The sequence below is a fragment of the Homo sapiens genome, chromosome 18 (genome assembly GCF_000001405.40).
Source record: "Homo sapiens chromosome 18, GRCh38.p14 Primary Assembly".
NCBI lineage: Eukaryota > Metazoa > Chordata > Mammalia > Primates > Hominidae > Homo > Homo sapiens.
The window spans coordinates 43,023,666-43,047,353 of record NC_000018.10 but is presented as its reverse complement, the minus strand read 5'-3'; the positions used below and the strand labels follow the sequence as shown (position 1 = coordinate 43,047,353).

The 23,688-nt window shown below is 35.3% G+C and overlaps 1 protein-coding gene across 2 annotated transcripts in view; it reads left to right on the top strand.

Moving 5' to 3' along the window:
* The window catches only part of RIT2 (Ras like without CAAX 2), a 372,459-nt gene that overhangs the window by 68,332 nt on the left and 280,439 nt on the right, over window positions 1-23,688 (top strand). For both annotated transcript variants that reach the window (NM_002930.4, NM_001272077.2), the window contains exon 2: window positions 13,487-13,543. In NM_002930.4, coding sequence (NP_002921.1) covers window positions 13,487-13,543 — 57 coding nt within the window. The remainder of the gene's footprint in view (window positions 1-13,486; window positions 13,544-23,688) is intronic.

Here is a 23,688-nt window from a genome sequence, read left to right as displayed (position 1 = left end):
GGTAAGATAATGGTGAAGTGGAAAAGCAAAAAATGACAGCAAGTTCTAGAAAGGGAGAAAGAGTATTGAGAGAAATAGTTGGATATGGCAAGAGGGACAAAATGAGTGAAAAAGCGGAAGATTATAAGAAAAAAGGGAGAGATATAAGCACAATAGCCATGAATATATGACATTGAGAAAGGAGAAACGGTAGAAAAATAAAAGGAAATGAGAAAAAAGAAATGATCTGGAGTCATACAGACAACTAGTCCAAGTATGTTTTCAAATTGTGTCATCTTTGATTATAGGCTTTTGAAATACTTATTAATTGATGTGTGAGTAATTATAGCTTTTTTTTATTTGGAAGGGTGAAGTTTTACCTTAGATCAGTGGCACTCAAACTTTTTGATCTGAGGATCACACTAAACACTTGAAAATTACTGAGCACCCTGAAGAGCTTTGTTTATGTGAATTATTTTTATTGATATCTACCATACTATAAATTAAAACTGAAGTTTTGTTTTAAATTATCCATGGATGCATAGCTTAAAAGACAATTGCATTTGTCTATCTGTTTCTGTGTTCAATATACTAAAGTATGTTGTTTTGGTTGAGTACATAAGGAAAGCTGGTTTTATACAGACAAGTGGGAAAAGGGAGAACCTCATTTACCCTATGAAAGGGCCTCTCAGACCCTAAGGGTTATTTTACCATATTTTAAGAACCACTGCTCTAGACAGAATAGGTATGATTCAGTTCTGTAAATGTTGACTGTGGAAGACCCTGTGTTGTCTGCCAGACACCATGTTCGCAGTCTCTAGGGAGCCAAGGCCTCTGCCTGTCAGGTGACTAGAAGCCAGTAGAAGCAGCCCAGCTTTAGGCAGAGCTCATCTCAGGGTACTGTGTGGAGCCGAAGCATGTTTACTGTGGAGGCAAGATGAAATCCAGTCCAGGGACTGATCTAGTCAGTGGTTGTGTTTGTGTCACCATAACAAATCCAGCCTAGTGGACCAACAAGTGATATGTTGAAAATTAATAATGTGGTCACAATCTGTTCTAAAACTGTGCAAATCCTTCAAATTTTATGTTGTGTCAGATAATTATGTAGATCTGATCCTAACCTCCACATCTTTTTTCATTTGAACAGATGTCATACAGCACTGACTCATTCTTGTAGTTTTGTAATTGTCACATTGATTATTGACTAAAATACAAGATTTTTGCATGATTCTGTTACATTTTATCTTTCTGGGTTTGTCCCATCATTCCAGCCTATCAGGACTGCCTATCTTGCATCTGACACCCAGCCTATTAGCCATTGCCTTTAGATTGATGTCATTTCACATATGTTGTGAAAAGAAAAATACAGTTAAAATAATGTATAAACCAAAATAACCCTATGAAAATATAATATTATAAAGATTATCACCATTATTACCGTAATTAATTTAAATAGATATGGTCTAGATAAGGCCATGAAAGAGTGTGCCTTTTATTCAGGATATGGTGCATCCTCCATTTTCAGTTTTTTTCATGAAGGACTATGGAAGCTGAGGGAAGCTAATGATGTCTTAAGAAAAGAGTCTAGGAAGCCAAACACATTCATGATACAAGGCACAAAATGGGAAGTTCCAGGCAGGAGGTAAAAAGATATTAGAGGTGAGGTAAAAATATTATTTGTGCCCTCCCAATGCCCTTCTGATAAGGTAGGTAGTTGACTATTCTATGATCTCTTCTCAAAGTGTTTTTACAAAATTGTTACAAGTAGGATAGAGATTCATCAAACAAAAGAAAATGCTTAGGATGTATGCAGATATTACAACACTTAAATCACGGGTGCCTTAATGCTTTGATAATCTTCTAAACCAATGAAAGTAAAACCTTCAGCCCCGGGTATACGTTGGTGCCCATTAGTTACTAACATGATTATCTGAAATATCAGAAAATGTTTTCATTGCAGGATCAGGGTGTCAAGACAGAGTAAATTCTTATTGTGGCAAATGATAACAATGTTAATTCTCATATGGATTAGATGTTAACATCTACAATAACTCCTGTGACAAATTATACACATTTTAAAATCTGAATGCTTTGGAATTGTCTGTAGTTACTACCACCCATTCATGTAGATGAGACTCCAGTAATTGTCTCCATTAGTTATTATGCTGTAAGAATGGCACTACAGAGAGAGTTGTATTTACGTATGTTGGCACAGGTATGCAGGGCACTGCATACTGAAATACTCCTTAGGTATTTCATTTACCTAAGGAGATGAGGTTTATCCTAAATGATAAAATACTTGAGAAAATATTAGTGAAAATGTCTATTTTTCTTCTTTGTTTAAGTTCAAAATAAACTGTCAGCATACAGCAAATAAATAATGACTGGTAATATTTAGTTTTTAATATTCTTTGCCTTTTTGTGTCTCATCAATCATCCTTGAAAATCAGTCAGTGAAGATGAATAGAGTTTTTAAAGTCCTGGAAAGCACAATTTCTTTCCATTAGCAGTGAGTTTGTGGGGAAATGTCAAGAAAGTAAAGGGGAACATTCCATAGAAGGAAAAACACTCAGGGAAATGATGAATTGCAAAAGGTGCTGCTCTCATCCAGCTGCTTAGTTGAACACCATTTCCCCAACCAAATGATGCTGTTTTCTAATCTGTCCCTCAACCCCCAAATCTCAGTCCTTTTCTTCTCAACCATCCATATCCTATAACCACACACCTATAGAAAGGTAGACATACCAGCCCTTCAGTAAATGTCTTATGACTAAATAAACAAATTAAATCACAATCTCAGATTCCCTTCCCATCTTTGAACTGTGATGGATTTGTTCTAAGAAAATAATTGGTTCAGAAATTCTGACTCTGGGAAGTATAGGTTTGGTATTAGCCTGCATTAATGAGCTTCATTACTTTAATATAAATATGCTGAATTATGCTTTTGATCTGGAAAGCACCAAACCACCAGTGCTGAATACCCCTTTCTAAATGTTAATTTTATAGAAATTTAGAACCTGTATTATTCCTAGAGAAAACAGAGGAGAACTTCTTTCATTGTAGAAATGCATTAATTAGAAAAAAAATGAAAGCTGTCATTAAAGTGGGATCGGGATACCTCTTACCCAATTTCTGATTCAACATTCTTTCAGTACAGAAGATCAACATTGTCAGTATTAAAAGCTGCAAAGAGAATTAGGAGATCTTTACCAAACTCCACAAGGACCCTATTTTACTATTCTTAGTACCTCCCTTTTACCTTGACTTTAAAAAGATCCTATCACTCCTGTTTGGGGCCATTCCAGGTTGGTGGTTATCTCAGTCTTATTCTCCGTGCTCAGCAGCTTGGCTGCCTAGGTGCTGGGTGCTGTTCTGCCATGCTTCCTCTGGGCATGTCTTCCTTGGGAAAGATCCTGTGCTATGGATTCTTGTAGCTCTATTTCTGATCCTCAACTCAATGCAATTTAGAAAATGTTTGTAAATATGTGTGCTGAGGGGAAAATAAAAGAACACTCTCCCTGCTTTCTTTTATTTATTTATTTATTTATTTGATTTATTTATTTATTTGTTTGTTTGAGACGGAGTTTCGCTCTTGTTGCCCAGGCTGGAGTGCAATGGCACTATCTCAGCTATCTCAGCTCACTGCAACCTCCACCTCCCTGATTGAAGCAATTCTCTTGCCTCAGCTTCCCGAGTAGCTGGGATTACAGACATGTGCCACCAAGCCCGGCTAATTTTGTATTTTTAATAGAGACGGGGTTTCTCCATGTTGGTCAGGCTGGTCTTGAACTCCTGACCTCAGGTAATCGGCCCGCCTTGGCCTCCCAAAGTGCTGGGTTACAAGCGTGAGCCACCAGGCCCAGCCCAGTCTCCCTGCTTTTACCTTAATTTGACTTTGAGTCAAAAGTTAATTTTAGATGCATTTATTTATTTATTCATTCAAAAATTAACATTTAGTGTACATGTGTGTTATTACTCAGCAAATATCAATGGCCCACGTGGTGCATAAATTTTCAGGTAAGAGGAAGGAATTAATGAAAACCAATTAGCACAATGGAAAGAGTCTGGCTTTGGGGTCCTATGGCCCAATCAATTTGATTCCTTGATATTGCTCTGTAACCTAACCAAGTTACTGCATGGCTCTCAAAACAATTTTGTTAAATTGTTCCTTCAAGGAATTTTGTAAGGTTATAAATCAAACTTAAATACTTTTAAATTGATATATAAAATATTATCCTAAATTTAAATTGTTTTAAAAGATATAATTTCTGCCTTATTTTAAATAATGATGTCTTCAATAAAAATCCTATAATTTCTTGTAAATATATTTGGACATAAAAGACATAATAATTTAATACTCATTATTATCTTTTTTATAAACTATATGAACAAGTTATTTAATAGTGGAAAATGGTACATGGTTCTTATTCTTGTTGAAAATGCTGTATTTATCTAATTGTCATAGAATTTTATCCTACCTACCATAATAAATGTTTATTTTAATAACAGTGCTATAATAATTTTATTTTTTGTTGCTGTTGTCACCATTAAACATACTATTACTGTGTAAGCAAATGTGTGTGTAATTTCACTGGCTGTCCTCCTCCACAACTCCCCATCTTCTTCTCAAATGTAAACCTTTAGAAGGCAAGGGTCTTCATCTGTTTTGTCCATTGACATATCCCAACTATCTAAACAGCGTCTGACACATACTATTTTTGAATGAAAGAATGCCAGCAAGGGAACATAGGGAGTTCCAAGGAGGAGGAATGGGTTTTGATTTAAATTCAGTAATGAGAGAACACCTCGCAGAGAAGGCCCAAGTGAGTAATAATCTGAAAGAAATATAGAGCAAGCCATGCAGGTATCTGGAGGAGAGTTCTCCAGGCAGAGGTAGAAGCACCAACAAAGACTCTCCTTGGGAAAGGGTGTTACTGAAAGGTATGACAAACTCTGAAGGCCAATGTGACAGAAACAGAATGATTAAAATAGAGGACTGAAGTACAAGAGAAATAACCAGATCCTAAATAGATGAGGAAGGAATGGTGATGATGGTAACAATTAAATGAAGAAAGAGGTATTGCAGAATGCTTAATTTGGAGGCGGTTTTAAGTTATCTCTCTTCCCTCTTCACATTTTTCAGACGAGAAAATTAAGTCAGAGAGTTTGAGTAATTTTTTCATGGTCCCAAAAACCAAGACAAATGGGGCTAAATCTTAGTGACCTGTCTCCCAATCTCATTTTTCCCATTTCACTGACAGGACATCAATTCTCAAAGGGAAAGCAGTGATTTGCCATCTTCTGTCTTTGAGTTTTTAGATTGTATTATTCTCTAAATTGCTTTACTTTAGTACTTCGCATAAATATCAAGTATTTTTTGGAGGAGTGGGTGTGGGTTGGAGGAGGAATAATGAGTTATATGATCTTATGCTATATATATATATTATTTTGTAGGAAATAACCCCTTTCTATAATTTTCCTCTTTCATAACTGACAGTCTCTGCCTCTGGCCAAATACCACTGACATTCCAAGGAGGGTGATATATAATATTGTCAGATTTTCAGAGAAGTAAATTTGATGATTTAATACTGAATTATGCAAAGTAAGAAGCAGTTGACTTATATTTAACTTTAAAATGAAATAGTAAATTATGGGAATATCTGAATAATAAAATGGAAATTTAAATAAAAATATGTGCATGAAAAAAGACGTCCACACAAAATGTGTTTGCTTTAAAAAATGATTGTTTTTAATCTGTCACCACTGCCATTGTATGAACATTTAAGATGCATTTGGCCATTATTTATTATATGTACTTAATGAATATTTTATAAAGTCCTTGGAAACACTACATTTACATAACATATGTTAATGATATAGCCACTAATAAAGAAAAAGGGTCTTTGATATGAAATCCATCAGGTACTTCCTAACAGTATCCAGGGCTTACCGTTAAGTAATGTCCATTTCTCTGGTAGGGTAGTATTCTTACTTGCTATACAAGGGTAATAAATTAACTGTAATAATTTTAGAAGTTAAAGCAAAGGGCTATTGAGTCTACTAAGCATTCTTTATTTTCATCCCTAATTACTTTTATAAAGATTGCAAATATTCAGACCCAATGTCTTCTCTACTCATACACACTCTTCACTTTCTTTGTATCCATAAAGCCACTAACCAACTTTCAAAGAAGCGTTTATGTGCATAAAGTAGAAAAAGCCTCCTATTGTTATTTCTTTTCCCAGATATTTTTATGATGACCACATAGTTAACCTGAAAAAACGCTTCACATATTATTTCAGATGTACTCCTATCTAGATAATTAATTTTTAAAAGCAATAAATATAATTATACATATATTTCTAGCATGTAGGTTTTACACCCTACAAAAATTTTTAAAAGTATGGTTTTTAATAATAATTTCTGTTAATATTCATCAAAAATTAAAAGGGGCTTATTCAGATAATTTAGAAGCATTTCTTATAGAAGCTAGTAAGATACAGAGTAACATTAAAGCCAAAGTTATTTTTTTCAGAAAATGATTTTTTTTTGGGGGGGAAAGTATAACATTTCATTTTCCTTCATTTGACATTTCCACCTTTCCTTTAAATATCCTTTTCCCCCTTATGCTGAAGCCTGCTATGTGTTCAGCAAACCTGTTTTCTTTTCTTCCTAACATGCACCCCCATCTCATAGTAGTTAGGAGGAGCCAAGTAACTGAGTTTTGATAATAGACTGTGGATACAGTAATGTACAATATTTATGGCACTTTTTTTACTTAACATTCTGTCACACAATTCTCTGAATTCTCTTACTTCACTTTTCTGCCAATTTTTCATAAAGAACTCAGAGGAGGCCTTGAAGTTCTGAGGGCTGAGAGACCACTTGATGAGAGGATCTGGGAAAGACTCCATAGAACACAATGGTCATCTTCCAGCATAACTTATGTTGCATTTGACATAAGTGAAAAATAATTGCAGCAAAGACACCAAAAGCTTGTTCAGCCATTTGCCTTTCGCACTAATAAATTCTTTATAAGACAGAGCTAGGAAATAGCGTTCTTATACATTCTACTTATGCCAGGGCACCTATTTCCATCAATCTCTCCACTACCCACACTCACACATGCATGCAGCTTAATTTTCTGATTCAGGATGTCTAAAACACATCTAGAATTCACTATATTTGAAGGGTTCCACCTATTTATTTGGTATTGCCAATATCTAGCACACAGTAGATGCTCAATAGGTGTTTTATGGGTGAACTTTAAAATCTTTTGGAACGGACAGCATGATTTTTCTTGTTCTAAGCGGTCTTGACCAAATTGGTATCCAGTGACAGTCTTTCTTACACTTTTCTCTCGGCCTTTTTAGACAAATAGATTCTAGTCCTCTAATTGAAATAATCTGATGCATAGATAAGAAGAGAAACTAAATATATTGTGTTTAGTTCATATTTGACCTAAATTCTCCATGAAAAAATTAATTACTCATTTTCAGCATCAAGTTTTGAAGATCTATACTTCAAGAATTTTGTGGGCTCCATCTTACACATAAGGGTTTACTGGTCAGTGAGAAATGAATAGGAGAATATAGTTGGCCTCTTGAATCTGAATTTCTCCATACATCCTTCCGCAGAGCCAAAGTACCAACAAAAAGTACAATTAAACCACATGTGATCTATGCCATGAATGTCAAATTACCTCTAAGTAGAAAAATAAAGCAGAGGTCAGGTGTGGTGGCTCACGCCTGTAATCCCAGCATTTTGGGAGGCCAAGGAGGGTGGATCACCTGAGGTCAGGAGTTCGAGACCAGCCTGACCAACACGGAGAAACCCTGTCTCTATTAAAAATACAAAATTAGTCGGGCATGGTGTCACATGCCTGTAATCCCAGCTACTCAGGAGGCTGAGGCAGGATAATTTCTTGAACCCAGGAGGCGGGGCCTGCAGTGAGCTTAGATCGCACCATTGCACTCCAGCCTGGCCAACAGGAGCAAAACTCAGTCTCAAAAAAAAAAAAAAAAGAAAAGAAAAAAAAATGTCAACAGAAATTCTGGTGCCATTACAAGGCTGTGGTTGTGCAGGATGGAAAGAGGGAAGACTTAAAAGACTGAGAAAAAGAGGAGAGGAAAGTCAAGTACTTAAATGAAATATTGGTAAAATCATCTTTTGAAAGAAAGCCATATAACGCTAATTGCCAAAATACTGAAAATTAGTCTGAAAGTTTATGTTTCACAGCAGTGATAATGTCCTTGACAGTAAACAGAACCAGAACTGACAATCTGCTTCTCAGGGAGATGGAAATAAGTAGAAAAGTGGTATTCATCTTCAAGATGTGGCAGTGAAGGAAAAGGTAGGAAGGTAATGAAGAAAACTAAAGATTCTGTTGAAAACAAAGAGAAACAATATATGACAATTACTTCTATGATCCTCACCACCTGTCAATGTTACCTAATTTGAAATAAAAAAAAAAATCCTGCAGTTTACTAACCTGAGAGAAGACAACACCCTTGATGTGATAACTGAATATGTAATGCATAGAAACAGAGAAAAAAAGGTGACACAAACATGATACAAAACTACCCTAAGAAGAAAAAAGAAGAGGGAATCAACTGTTTTAAGCTAATAAATATTCTCCCCCAAAATTTAACAAAGCATTGACATGTACTACAAGAAGCTTAACTGAATTAAACATCCTCAAATAATCGTGTGTAGATGAATTTAAACACAGAATCAGAAATTGAAAAACTCAGAAACAGAAATAACTTAAAGAAGATATATACTGAGAAAAAAGAAATTGTAGGAAAAGACAAAATCATCTGAGAAATAAGGGACAAATCACAAGGTACCCTTGGGAGAATAGTTTGGAATGAAAACTGAAACATTTGGAGAGCAGGGAAACAATCAAGAGAATTAACATGTGATTAATAATAATTTTTACAAGGTCTAAAAAGTCAGAGAAAATGTGGTAGAAATGAAAACCAGGCAAAAAATATTCAACAGCATAAAAAGTCAAATCCTTGAAGAATAAAAACAACAATATGTAAAAAAAAAAAAAAACCACGATTCAATAAAAAGTTCTAGAAATTAAAGAAAATATGTGTTTACTTATTGAAATGACCCACTTGTACCTGAAAAAAAAAATCTGAAACTGCTTTTTTTTTTTTTTGAGACAGAGTCTCACTCTGTCGCCCAGGCTGGAGTGCAGTGGCGCAATCTCTTCTCACTGCAAGCTCTGCCTCTCGGGTTCACACTATTCTCCTGCCTCAGCCTCCCGAGTAGCTAGGATTACAGGCACCCACCACCATGCCCAGCCCATTTTTTTTTATTTTTAGTAAAGATGGGGTTTCACCATGTTAGCCAGGATGGTCTCGATCTCCTGACCTCGTGATCCGCCCGCCTTGGCCTCTCAAAGTACTGGGATTACAGGCATGAGCCACGGCGTCCGGCCTGAAACTATTAATTTCAAGACATAACTTAGTAAAACTAGCGGACTATAAAGAAAAAAGAATCCTTAGTATCTCCAGAAAAACAGACCAAACAGTTAACATGGTTCAGAAAAGTGCAGGACAAGTATTTTATATCCAGCCAAGTTGTCTTGTAAGTATCAAGGCTATAGAAAAATAGTTCTAAGTAGGCAAGAACCCTGGAAATACTGTACCCATGAATTCTATCATAAATATATATGTATATATTCCTCCATCCAATCAAGAGAAGATTGGTAAAGCTTTGAAAAAAAATAGGTAATTGATGAAGATTTATTATATTCAATTTTAAACCTTAGACTAAAACAAGAATAAGAACATGAGTACAAGAATGTGAATGGACTTAACTTGCCTATTAAAATAAAACAAATTTTAAATTGGTACAAAAAATCCAGCACTGTAATATACCAAGAACCTCCTGAAACACAGTGATTTACGATTGTAAATTCAAAGAAAAATTAGGAATAAACCCCCAAAATAGAAACAAAGTTAATGCAGTGATTATAACTTTGATCAGACCAAAATGATAAAAATAATTAAATGAGATAAGGGAAACTTTTAAATAATAAAAGCCACAATTCACAATTGCATTGTTCATTGATACTCTAACATTCTGATCAAAATATTGATTTATGACTTATGCTGGTATTTTCTAGGACAACTGTTCTTACTTGGGACATGTTGATCGTTACCTATTTCTCAATATTGTGTTCTTGTGTGTATATAAATGAATGTTTTGGGAGTAAAAGATAGACCATTGTTATTAGATTTTTAGAACCAATGTATTAAGATATTATAAAGTCAGTACAATTAAAATATCTGAAAAAAGGATAGAATTATGTTGTTTGAGTTTCTTATGAAGTTGCTCTTTAGCAAGGAATAATAGAATGCCAATTTTCTAAGGATATAAAACTGTGTAACATAAAATGAAATAAAATTTAATCTCCAGTCTGACTGATAGCAGATTCTCTCCAGTGTGATAACAGGTTGAGCTTGATAGGTACTTAGGAGAGATTTTTCAAAAATTGTTTTTTATAAATTATCTCCCCCAAATGGAAATGCCTGTTAGATGTCCTATAGGGGATCCACTTTGTAAAACACAAAAGAAACTTATACAAATCAATCTTTCTAAAATTATCTTTTGAATTCTGAAACAAAGCTCAGCTGGCTCCTTTTGCTTTGATTCTGTCTCAGCGGTGGGTCAGAAGATTCCACATTTAAAGGGCTTTTTTCAATTATACAACAAGCAGCAGGTTTCCATTAAAGCACAAACTCCATCATGTAAATATATACTTTTTGTTTTGTTTTGTTTTGTTTTTGCGGGGCAGGCTGGCGGGGGGAGGTAGCGGGGGATGGAGTCTGGCTGTGTCACCCAGGCTGGAGTGCAGGGGCACAATTTCGGCTCACTGCAACCTCCACCTCCCAGGTTCAAGTGATTCTCCTGCCTCAGCCTCCTGAGTAGCTGGGATAACAAGCATGCGCCACCACGCCCGGCTGATTTCCGTATTTTTAGTAGAGATGGGATTTCGCCATGTTGGCCAGGCTGTTCTAGGACTCCTGACCTCAGGTGATCCACCCGCCTTGGCCTCCCAAAGCGCTAGGATTACAGGCGTGAGCCACTGCTCCCGGCCTAGGTGTTCTTATAAATAACTGTAACAGGTAAGTCCCTGACTGATTCATTTATTTCTGATGTTGGCTGTATGTTTCTCAAGTCTAATATCCAAATATTTCTATTATTTATTAAAATGCTTTCATATCTTCTTTCTTAAATTTGTTCAAAATTTCTTCAGGCTCCACAATTCCTTCCCAATTGCATAGCAATTAACTTAGCCCATAACAGTTCTTTCTATTGCTTCTTGATAGCTTCCATGACTATCGTGTACTGCTACCTGATAGAGGAAGGTTTAAATGTGTGAATAGAATGGTGTGACATTTGAGTAGCGATATCAATCATTCTTAACATTGTTAAAGAAAATCAGAGCCAGAGACTAGTTAAATTGGTAAGAACAGATTTTATTCAGGAGCTATGGCAAAGGATAAAGAACTACATATAGAACTGGTCTTAGTTCCAAAATACAGCAAGCACTAAGGCGGGTGTATAGCCGAGAAGCAGGATTGGGGTCAGTGGATGGAAAAATTACTAAGAAATATCCAGAAGAGGTGATTCTGGTTAAACAAATTTAATGAGATTCTTGCTGAAGGCAGGGAAATCAAATATTCCTTGAGGAGTGGTGGGGATGAAGAATTTGATCAGGTATTGAGAATGATCAGATATCAAGGGTAAGGGATGCTCTCTAAACTGATTTAGCAGTATTCTTGCTAAATCTGGGTTATGAAAAGATGAATATGGAAGTACGAAAGTTTAGGTGTAGGTGAGAAGAGGGTTCAGAGGAGCCTGACTGAAGTTCAGGAACTAACTTCAGTCAGGAACTAAGAGAGGGAGGCAACTGCCATTTTAAAACTCAGGAAAAGCATTTTCCAAATGCTTCTTCATATCCACTTAATAAACATGTTGCTTTCAGTTTGTTTACCTGAAGTATTCTAACTCCTCAGGCTATCTGTAAGGAACGTTGATTTGCATTTCAAAAATTTGCCCAAAGCTGTCAAATTGAGTAATACTTATATGTAGAGACTTCTTTTGTCACTGCAAATAAAGGAAGTAAACAATTGTTAAAGCATAAAACAGAAATTCTCTTCCACTGGGTCAGTTTCCATTTCTTTGCTTTTCTCAGCAGGGTCAGACTAGCGCATTCCACATGTTTGTTGAATGTAACTAAGTCTTCTCTGCTCTGAATATTTGCTAAAGTGTGTACACACTTAAAAACAACCAGAGCTGGACACTAGTTAAAGCAATAAAAATAAATTTAATCCAGGAACTATTTCCATAAGGGAAAAGAGTCCTCAGTATAGAACTGGGCTCAATTCCAAACACAGAAAGGACATGCAGAGATGTATAGGCAAGGCACAGAGGAGGAGGAAGGTGAGAGGGGAGGGGTTACACCTGTGCATGGAAAATTCCTAAGAGGAGACATCAAGGGGAGGAAGATTCTTGCTAAACTGACTTAGCAGGATTCTTGTTGAAGGTAGGACAGAGGATCAGATATCAGGGGAGGAGTCTCTCTAAACTGACTTAGCAGGATTTGACAAGTGGGATATATAGACCCAGCCAGAATGCAAGGACAGGGTCCATGTTTGAGGCCTAGTAGAGAAGAAGGCTTAGGATCTTACCTAAAATTTGCTCAAGGAGAGAGTCTGTTAACAAACACACATGCAGAAGTGAGGAAAAAAGAAAGAGAAGAGCTATTATACACTATTTTTATATAAGTTTGTTGTTTTGCTTCAGAGTTCCTTTTGCTTCCTAATAATGGAAATTCACATGAGGAAATACTTTACAATAGAAATATTACAAATGTTTTACAAAATCATAGGTTTGGAAATAATGTGGAGGGTACAGAATTACAGAAAAAAAGTAATGAAGAAAAGGTGGTCGATAACATAAATTAGGCAAAATAAAAGTAACTGAAATAATTTTAATTTTGAACAGTTAAAGACAAAAATAATGTAATTACATATCTTTATAGTTCGTAAGAACTTCAGAGGGTATCTATTCACTTTAAAGATGAAAAACTTAGAGTCCCAGAGAATGTACAGATTCTTTGGTGAAAGGGACTTGCACATCATTACCAACTGTTCAACCAGAGAAGGTCAAGAGGGATTCTGTAACTGGTTTACATTTTCATTATGTCAAGAGCTTCTTTATTTTTACTCTAATACCATTTTTATTGAAATACACTTAAAATTTGAACATATTTATTTCAGAGAAGTATCTGGCATTATCTGACACATTTTTCCCTCTAGAACTTCGTCTTATTGTTTTCATTTTGTGTGAAATTAAATTAGTCACTCACATAACTAACTTATTCACCATAACCTTTTAAAAGATTGGTGGACTATGTTGGTAAATAACTTATTGATGAATTAGTGAATTTTTATTAAACAAAATGTGTTTTTTTTCTTTCAGCAATGACAATGCAGTTTATTAGTCATCAGTTCCCTGATTATCATGACCCTACTATAGGTAAGTGGAAGCTTCCTTTCTCCGTAAGCTCAAATAAAGACACTGTGACTAAGTGGCTTGAAAATAATAGCAATGTTGATGGAAAATAAATATAATTTACTCTATGACCCAGAACACATACACACAAATCTATCATATGTAACGTACCACAACAGAAGCTTCAAGAGACAGTATTTGTCCTTACTTCTTGCCGGGTAGTCTGGTATTATCTATTCTATTTCTTTCTGGTAAATGGTGGTTGGAATCCATTAAGTGATTTCAGTATCTAATAATGGATATCTATCTGCATTTGAGAAGTTTCTCTGGATAATAAAATTGTACTCTGGATAATAAAATTGATGTGATTATATATGTATTTGCTCACTTCTGTCAGTCTCTGAATTTTCTACTGCAGAGTTATTTAGCCATGTTAATGGTGCATTTGGAACGTTAGATATAGACATAATATTATCCATCATTCTCATCTTGAAGGTTAGGAAACTGACATTTAAGGTATTAAAATATTGCTAGAGCCAAAACACCACCCATGTTTTATTCCTCCTACCCAGTTTTCTTTCTGTCATAATATACTGCAGAAGTTTTGCATTGGGGAACAAGTTTTCTCCCTCATTCAAAGCACAAAAGATGCCTTTAAAATTGCTTTACTCATTCAAAAAACTACTTTAAAGAATTGGCTGGAAATTTTCAAGCAGAGTCCACCGTAGTACTCTTTGTCAGAAACACACTGGTATTAAAAACACATCAAGCATTATTTCCCAGAGAGGGAGGCATATAGCCTCATGGCTGACTGGTTGCCTGGATGGTGAGCTCCTTTAACCACTCCCCATTACTTACCCTATTTGTTCCCTCAGTCTGAATATATCTTATCCTCACCCCACCCATGGGTAAGATCATCTAGTTTCTATTATGCTTATCAAGAAATTTTAATTCAAGATCCTACTTGATATATTAAGTGGTATGCTGTAGATTATACTCCTGTATTCTTTCCCAAAAGGCCCCAGAATATTTGCTTGCATACCATTGCTGACATATATAAAACATACTTATTTTTAAATGTCTGATTATTTATTAAGACCACCTCATCAGTTGAAGTAAATCGATTAGATAGATTTAGTACATGCAATTAGTATGTGATAACTGGAAAGGACTTCCTCAACAAGTTGAGGTTTGTTTCTAAAGAGAAAGAAACTACTTTGTAAAGTTTTAGAAGTGGTTAGCTGCAACTGTTGCTTGGTAATTCTCTAAGTCCATTTTCTAAATATCTTAATTCCAGAATGCCAATAGCTTTGTACCACACACTGTAAGTTACACAAAAGGGACAATCTTTGGAAAAATCTCTGAATCTTTTATCTTGTTGGAAAATTCAATAATATAATATATAATTTATGATATCAGAAATTCACTCAGTTGTTTATTATTTTCTGTTATTCTTTAAGCTTTGTATGTATTGGTGTCTCAAAAACCAGCCTCTTGTTCATCAACCTCTCACGTCTAACAGCTTGAACAGGGCAGTAGATGTGAATAAATCATAAATGACTCCTTCAAACAGGAGAAATGAGAAGTATATGATGATGTCTCCTTTAGTTATCCATGAGACACATCTATCACTTGAGATTAAGATACCTGGACATTCAGTACTAACAGATAGCTACAATCATACCTTTATCTGGCTATAAATAAAACAGCTTTAGAAGAAGAAGTTTGAAAATGGAAACATAGAGTACTTTATTACTTTTGATCCGATTTTCCTATCATTTCATTTTGTGGCCTTTCTAATGGGAATATTGGTTAGCAATTTTCCATTGGTATCCTGCTTGCAGAAGGTAAAAGTCTGAAATAATTTACCTTCCACCTGCTTCTGCTACATAACTGTAACTCAATGTGGCTGACTTAATGACCTCTTAAGAGGAAATTCGTATTAGTACAGTTTGAAAATCATTCAAATTATAAAAGAATAACACCTATCAAGGATACTTTTTTCACAATTGAGATAGGAAATAAATATTTTTCAATCCTTCTCTAGATCTGTTTGTTACCCTACTGACTGAGGCTTTTAAATAGCCTTTTGTCTAAAATAATTGAGAGATATATATGGCTTTATTTTCTCCCTTATATTCAGCTTAGAGTTATTCTTCTTTCAAATATACCTCAGTTCTGAAAACGTAAGATCCCTTTATCACTGAAAAGAGTTAGATATATTATTTGATACCAGTGTTCATCCCAAGGAGTAATTGTTCCCCTTATTTATTGGCAACAATCTCAACATCAGTAACCAATGAATTTATAATAATAGAAAGGAAAAGCAGATTGGTTAATATTAGGTTACTTCACATTACTGTCTTTGTAAGGGTTAAAGCAGAGGAGACTTCTTTATTACACTGACTCAGGTAGAATGGAATCTCTTGCTTTCAGAAAGTATTGGTCTGTTCACGGGTCTATTTGCTTGCTTAAAATTTCAGTTTGGTTTTGTGGCATCTAGTGTGAGTGACTTCATTTTGGTTTGGTCTCATCTGTTAGGCCCAGGGCAGGAGCTCAGTCCAAAACAATTGCCTGCCATAATTTTGTGTCATAGTTTAGAGCAGATAATCTCTGCACTTATTTTTGAAAGATGCATAGGAATTAGGCTGGTGAAGAGGAGGGATTGCTAAAACAAAAAGTATAGGCACCGAGACAAGACAGCACAACAAGTGACAAAGCTGGGGCATTTTGGGAACCAGAAGACCAAGGGTGAAGCAAATGGTATAATATGTAGGAAGGCAAGCGAGAGCTAAATACATTACCAGGCACCAGATCTTTGAAGATCTTGCAGGCCTGGCTAAGGGTTTAGATACCTACAGTCTTATACTCTTCTGTGAGAGAAAGATGAATATTACTGACAGCCTGCTTAACTTTTCCATTTGTTAGTTCCAAGGCAGAAAAACTAAACATGCATCAACTTTAATAGCTGATTTTCCGTAGTAGATGTTTACTTTTTCCAGGATTCCTTCTCGTGGTAAAGCACCCGATCCACCAGCATCTCATACCAGAAACCCATGAATAATTCATGATACCTATTTAAACTTCTACATTAAACCACTCACAAAATTCTGTTGTTTCTACCTTTATAACAGGTTTTAAAACTGTCCCCAACTCTCTATAAACTTTTCTGTCATCTTTTTCTAAGCCACACCCATCTCCAATTTGGACTTGTTTTAAAATTGGTTTCTACACAGAACCAAAAAAAATCTTGAAAACTATAAATTTGGACTACTGTAATCTCTGTTTGATGGTTCCTAGTGTTGTATTATTTTTAGCATAAAAAATTCTAAGAACAAAATGAAGACTCTCATGGTCTTGCTATTATTTATGTCTTCAGCTTCCACACTTGCCACTTCTTTCTTGGGCATCAACCACATCCACCTTATTTTAGATCCACGAACTAGTCAAGCCCTTTTCTGTCTTACAGCATTTTCATCCATATTTTACCCAGAATGCTCTTCATTTTTTCACCTACATCTTTGCTTCATTCACTCATAGTTTTCTCTTAAACTTAAATTTAAATATTGCTTCCTCAAGAGCGCCTCTTTTGACTTCCCAAAAATAAGCCTTTCTTTTATGCATTCTTTTAGAATGTTGAATATTTTTAATATCACTAATGTCTATGAAATTAAATAATTGTTTAGATAATTATCTGTCAAATTAAAGTGTCATAAAGGTTAAAAATGCCCAATATGTTATTACTAGTGTATCCCAGACCTAAATAGAATGTTGAACATATGGCAGATGATATAAAATATTCATTAAATGGAAAATTAGTAAGCAAATACATTTCTAGGAAAGCATTAATCATTTTTAAATATTGCTATAGTAACTTTAGAGTCCTGGTGAGCAACTAAACTAATAACTAATCAAAGGTGTTCTAGTGGTCTTTTATAAAAATTCTCTATGTTTGTTAACTACTATTTCTTGACCTAAAATGATTAACAAAAGAAAATTTTCATGAAAAATTAAAAACATTGTGCTAATGCCAATCATTTTTATTTTTTCTTATCTTACTCCTCTGCTCTCCTAATCCTTCCTCTTTATTCAATATTATTTCCTTAACAAATGTTTATGTTTCAGGCATTGTTCAAAGCAAAGGAGTCAAAGGTGCACAATGATAGGAAAGAATTCCTTTTTCATTGAGTTTCTTTGCCTACTTTTATTTCATTATCTCTGAGAGCTGATCATATCTCCTTGTCTAGAGTCCAATTTTTCTTTTTTTTGTCTCATTGCATTAAGATGACTTGAGGTCATTACATTAATACAGAACACAATTTAGTTACAAAAACTGGCTTTAAGGACCTATCCATTGTTTCTTAGGGTTGCTTTCCCTTTGGAAAGAAAACAGCTTTAACAACTGAGCAATCAGTTATTATTTTATTATCTCATTTGCCCATCCATTTATTTGGTTCTCACAGTGCCCAGAAATTCATAAGACCAACAAGTTTCCAACTATACTTACATGTCCTATTTTCAAGGAACACTTCCTCTTGTAATTGACTCAACTGAGAATGCTTTTCCTCTTTTAGCATTTTAGACTTCCAATTTCACTTACAAACCATGAAAACTGCATAATACTCTCATCTGAAAGATTTATATTCTTTCTAAGCAATCGATAAGGACTGTAACAAGTTCTACAAAAAAAGAATAAAATGCTATATATAGAGTTAAGTCTTCCTGAATGACTTGGGAAGCTTAAAAAACAAGGACTTTATATAAGCAGCAAAGTACATCAACAATATAGACAGGTCATCTGCAGATAGCCTCGTGCTCAATGGCTGTTAGACCAGCATGGAACAAATGTACTACATTAAGTATACATTTCTCAATATCTCTTGTATTGAGAATACTTCTTAAGCTAGGAATTTAGAAAAATACTACGTTTGAATTACACTAAAATGGCCTGTTCTGTGTCTAAAATGTACACTAATAGAGTCACTCCTTTGTGTCACTAGAAAATTCCTGTTGAAATATAAATGCTCGGGGGAGAGTTAATGCCCAGAGCCATTAGGAGTCATTTATATATTTGCATAGATTAATGTATCCAATTATTCTAGAGAGCAAACCACAGAGCCATGGTCTACAGGGAAACACTGAACAGATACTTACTGAAGGGGTCTGGAGAAGGGAGGATATTACTACTAGTCAGAATAAGTGCTCCAGTATAACTCTTGAAGGAAATCAAGGCCTATAAACTAAACTTGAAGAATTATATTTATTAATGACTCTGGAATGTTTGAATGTGGTACAATAGAAAGATAATTCGTATGAAACTAATTAAATTCGATATTGAATTCTGCCTTCATCCTGGCTCCTTATTTTCTTTCCAAACGGATCCTGTAACAACTTCTTGCTTGCTATGCACCAACCACACTGGACTCCCGTTAGTTCTTTAAATATGCCAAGCAACCTCTTCTCTGCCTTTGGATTTTGTCAAGATACTCTCCTGTACCTTAAACACCTACCTTCTGCTCTTTACATAACAAGTTCTTACTCATTCTTCAGGTCTCAGTTTGCATACATCTCCTCAGAGAGACCTCTGATCACCTTATCTAAGTTAACTGCTTACCACATAAACACACACATAGGCATACATACAGACACATACACACATATGAATGCAAAACATACAGGTGCATTTCCTATATCAGCACACAGCTTGTTTCCTTAATCATATTTATTCAATTCTGAATTAAAAGTTATATTAATTTTTTGTTCATCTTCCCATATAAAAAGTAGGTTCCATGATGTCAGAAAACATGCCTGCTTTTTTCTGAATTTCATACAGGACCTCACACAGTGCATGTTTATTAGGAATGATCAAAACATTTGTGGAATACAAGAATGCATGAGCAACTTCAGTGACATTTTTTTCCCCTGTTATCTAAGTTAGATTTCTATGGTCACATAATTTCAGACCTCTTGGCTCTCTCATTCGATGTGGTAAGCTAAGCACCACCCAAATTAAACCTAAACCTTTTATGAAATTGCACTGGAGCAGCTGAGTATAACCGTGAAGCCTGGTCTCACTTTAAATGTATTATGCTTGATCTTAAATAGGCTTTTAATGGTGCTCTGGATACACATCCAGGTCGTAGACTACTCAATTTCTCACTGCTCTAAAATCACCAACTTCTCCTCCTATCTTCACATCTTCACTGATGACCTTGCTTTCTACTTTACTTAGACAATGGAAACATCTAGAAGATAAATTTTAAAGACTCCCACCCAGAAGATACTTCTAAAGCTACCCACCACTCTGAGTCCATACTTAGCCTTGCCACTTATTAACTTAGGTGAACTGCCAATGCTCCTACATAAGCCAGTACTACCATTTCCATTCAGTAGATTCCATCCCCATGTCCAAATCAAAAATCTTGCTCAAAACAATATTTTCTTTTTGTGAATCACTTCTTATCATCATAAAATGGTGTCTTTGCACTCTAAATATTAAGAAACATTAAAAATTCGTTTATGACCCCACTTCTTCTACTAGTGCCTTTCGCATTTCTCCACTGCCTTGCTATAAAGCTGCTCAGAGTTGAATGTACCACCAGACTCTAATTCCCTTTCTAATACTTTATTCAATCAACTCTAGCCATGTTTTCATCTCATCACTCTACTGAAATTGCTTTTATTAGGGATACCTTGACTCTTTAGGCTAGTCCAAGGATAATATTAATTCTTTCCATTTTAACTTACCAGCAGCATTTGATATGTTCTACCACTCTTGGATTTCATCCACTTTTTTCACTTGGCATACAACATATCATACTCGCTTGATTTCCCTCTAACTTCTGTAACAGCTTTTCTGACACTGTCTGGTTCTTCCTGTTTACCTAAGACTCAGCATTTGGTCTTCTTGCATTTGGTCTTCTTATTGTCTCTCTCCACATTCCCTTCATTGGTGATTGTCTTCAGTGTCATGGCCTTGTGTATCATGTATATGTTACAACTCCAAAATTTATTTCTCCATCTTATATTTCTCTCTTGAATTTCATACTTATATCTCTAGCTTCCAACACAACTTCTCCATTTAGATGTCTAATAGACATTCCTAAATTCCCCTGTTCAAAGCTGACTTCTGGTTCTTTCTACAAAAAAAAAAAAAGAAAGAAAAACTTTTTCATCTACAGCCTTTCCTTCTTTCTCTCTTTCTTTCTTTCTTTCTTTCTTTCTTTCTTTCTTTCTTTCTTTCTTTCTTTCTTTCTTTCTTATTTATTTCTTACTTTTTTTTTTGACAGAGTCTTACTCTGTTGCCAGGCTGGAGTGCAATGGTGTGATCTCAACTCACTGTACCCTCTGCCTCCCGGGTTCAAGTGATTCTCCTACTTCAGCCTTCCAAGTAGCTGAGACTACAGGCACGCACCACCACACCCAGCTAATTTTTGTATTTTTAGTGGAGATGGGGTTTCACCATGTTGGTCAGGACGTTCTCAATCTCTTGATCTCGTGATCCACCAGCGTTGGCTTCCCAAAGTGCTGGGATTATAGGCATGAGCCACCGTGCCCGGCCAACCTTTCTTATCTCTAAGGTAATCTCATCATTCTGGGTTCTCATACCTAAAACCTTTGACTCTTTCTTGATTTTTTTCTTTTGCCACACAATATACTCTCAGGAGGTCTTGTTGACTCTACTTCCAAATATGTACAACATTCATCTATTCTCACTACCTCTACTGCTACCATCTTGATCTGAGCCAGAAGAATCCCCAGCCTACATTATTATTTTAGATCCTTGTTTCTACTCTTGCCTCACTTTGCAGCTTATTTTCACTATAACAGAGTTATTTATTTGCCTTTATTTATTTATAGATTGAGAGGTAATAATGCAGTTTTGTTTCATGGATATATTGTATAGTGGTGAAGTCTGGTCTTTTAGTGTAGCCATCACCTGAATATTGTACCTTGTCTCCCTTAAGTAATTTTTAATCCCTCACACCCCCCGACCATCCCACCTTTTGGAGTCTTCAATAACTATTATCACACTCTTTATGTTCATGTGTACACAATATTTAGCTCTCACAAGTGAATGCATATGGTATTTGAATTTCTATTTGAGTTATTTCACATAAGCTAATTGCCTCTAGTTTCATCCATGTGCTGCAGAAGACATGATTTCTTTTTTTATGATTTAGTAGTATTTCATGGCATATATATATATGTGTGTGTGTGACATATATATCTATGTATGTGACATATAGATATGTCAAATATATGTTATATTTTCTTTATACAGTCTTTCTTTTATGGACACTTAGTTTGATTCCATGTCATTGCTATTGTGAATAGTGCTGCAATAAACATACAGGTGTAGGTACCTTTTTGCTATGATGATTTATTTTCCTTGGAGTAGATACTCAGTAGCAGGATTGCTAAACCAAATGGTAGTTCGATTTTTAGTTATCTGATAAATCTCTATATCATTTTCTGCAGAGTTTGTACTAATTTACATTCTTACCATTCTTACCAAGAGTATATAAGCATTCCCTTTGCTCTGCAATCCTCACCAAGATCTGCTATTTGCCTATTTGCTGCCTGTTTTTTTTTTTGTTTTTTTTTTGTTTTGTTTTGTTTTTTTTAGACAGAATCTCACTCTGTCACTCAGGCTGAAAGTGCAGTGACATGATTTTGGCTCGCTGCAACCTCGGCCTCCTGGGTTCAAGAAATTCTCTTGCCTCAGCCTCCTGAGTAGCTGTGATTACAGGCACGTGCCACAATGCCCTACTAATTTTTGTATTTTTAGTGGAGATGAGGTTTCGCCATGTTGGCCAGACTAGTTTTGAACTCCCGACCTCAAGTGATCTGTCTGCCTTGGCCTCCCAAAGTTCTGAGATTACAGGTATGAGCCACCGCACCCGGCCTGTTGGCTTGTTAATGATAGCCATTCTGACTGGTGTAACATGATTTCTCATTGTTCTAATTTGCATTCCTCTGATGAGCGATACTGACCATTTATTCATATATTTGTTGGCTGTTTGTGTGTCTTCTTTTGAAAAAAAAAAGTCTTTTTATGTTCTTTGCCCACTTTATAATGAGCTATTTTGTTGTTGTTGTTGTTGTTGTTGTTGTTGTTGTTGTTTGTTTGAGTTCCATGAAGATACTGGATATTAGCCCTTTGTTGGAAGCATAGTTTGCAAATATTTTCTCCTGTCCTGCAGGTTGTCTGTTCACTCTGTTGATTACTTATTTTGCTGTGCTCAAGGTTTTTAGTTTAATTAAGTTCTATCTGTCTATTTTTGTTTTTGTTGCATTTGTTTTTGAGGTCTCAGTCATGAATTACTTGCCAAGGCTAATGTCCAAAAGAGTTTTTCTTAGTTTTTATTCTAGTTTTTTTAAAAAATATATTTTTAGGTCTTACATTTAAGTCTCTAATCCATCTTGAGTTAATATTTGTATATGGTAAAGATAGGGGTCCAGTTTCATTATTCTGCATATGACAATCCAGTTTTTTCAGCACCATTTATTGAATAAGGTGTCCTTTCTCCAGTGTATGTTTTCCTTGATTTTGTGGAAGATCAGTTGGCTGTAGGTGTGTGGCTTTATTTCTGGCCTTCTATTCTGTGTCATTGATCTATGTGTCTATTTTTATACCAGAAAGATCTTTTTAAAACATAAGGTTGATTATGTCACTCTGTTCAAAACCCTTCAGTAGCTCCTCATTTCACCCAGAGTAAAAGGTAACTGACAACGGCCTATAAAAGCATATGAATGACATACCTTGACCATCTGACTTTTATTTTTTAGCATTCTTCCTCATTTATTTGATGTCCTTACTATCCTCTTTGTTTCTGAAACATGCCAGATAATTTCTTACACTGACATCTGTGCACTTGATATTTCCTTTCCTGGAATACTTTTCTTAAAATACTCTAAGAGCTAACATCCTTACCTTTTTCAAGTCTCTTCTTCAGGATTCAAATGCCTTTTTTTCAAACATGCTTACACTGACCACCATCGAACCTCCAGAATACACTCACTCTCTTCTATTCTTTTTCTCAAAGCACATTTTACCTTCTTATTTAGTATATAGCTATATGTGTCTTCCTTAGCTAGAAAATAAATGCTGTTTTAGTCATTGGAGTCTCCCAAAAATGATCAGTGTGTGGTTTATAGCAGAGAAT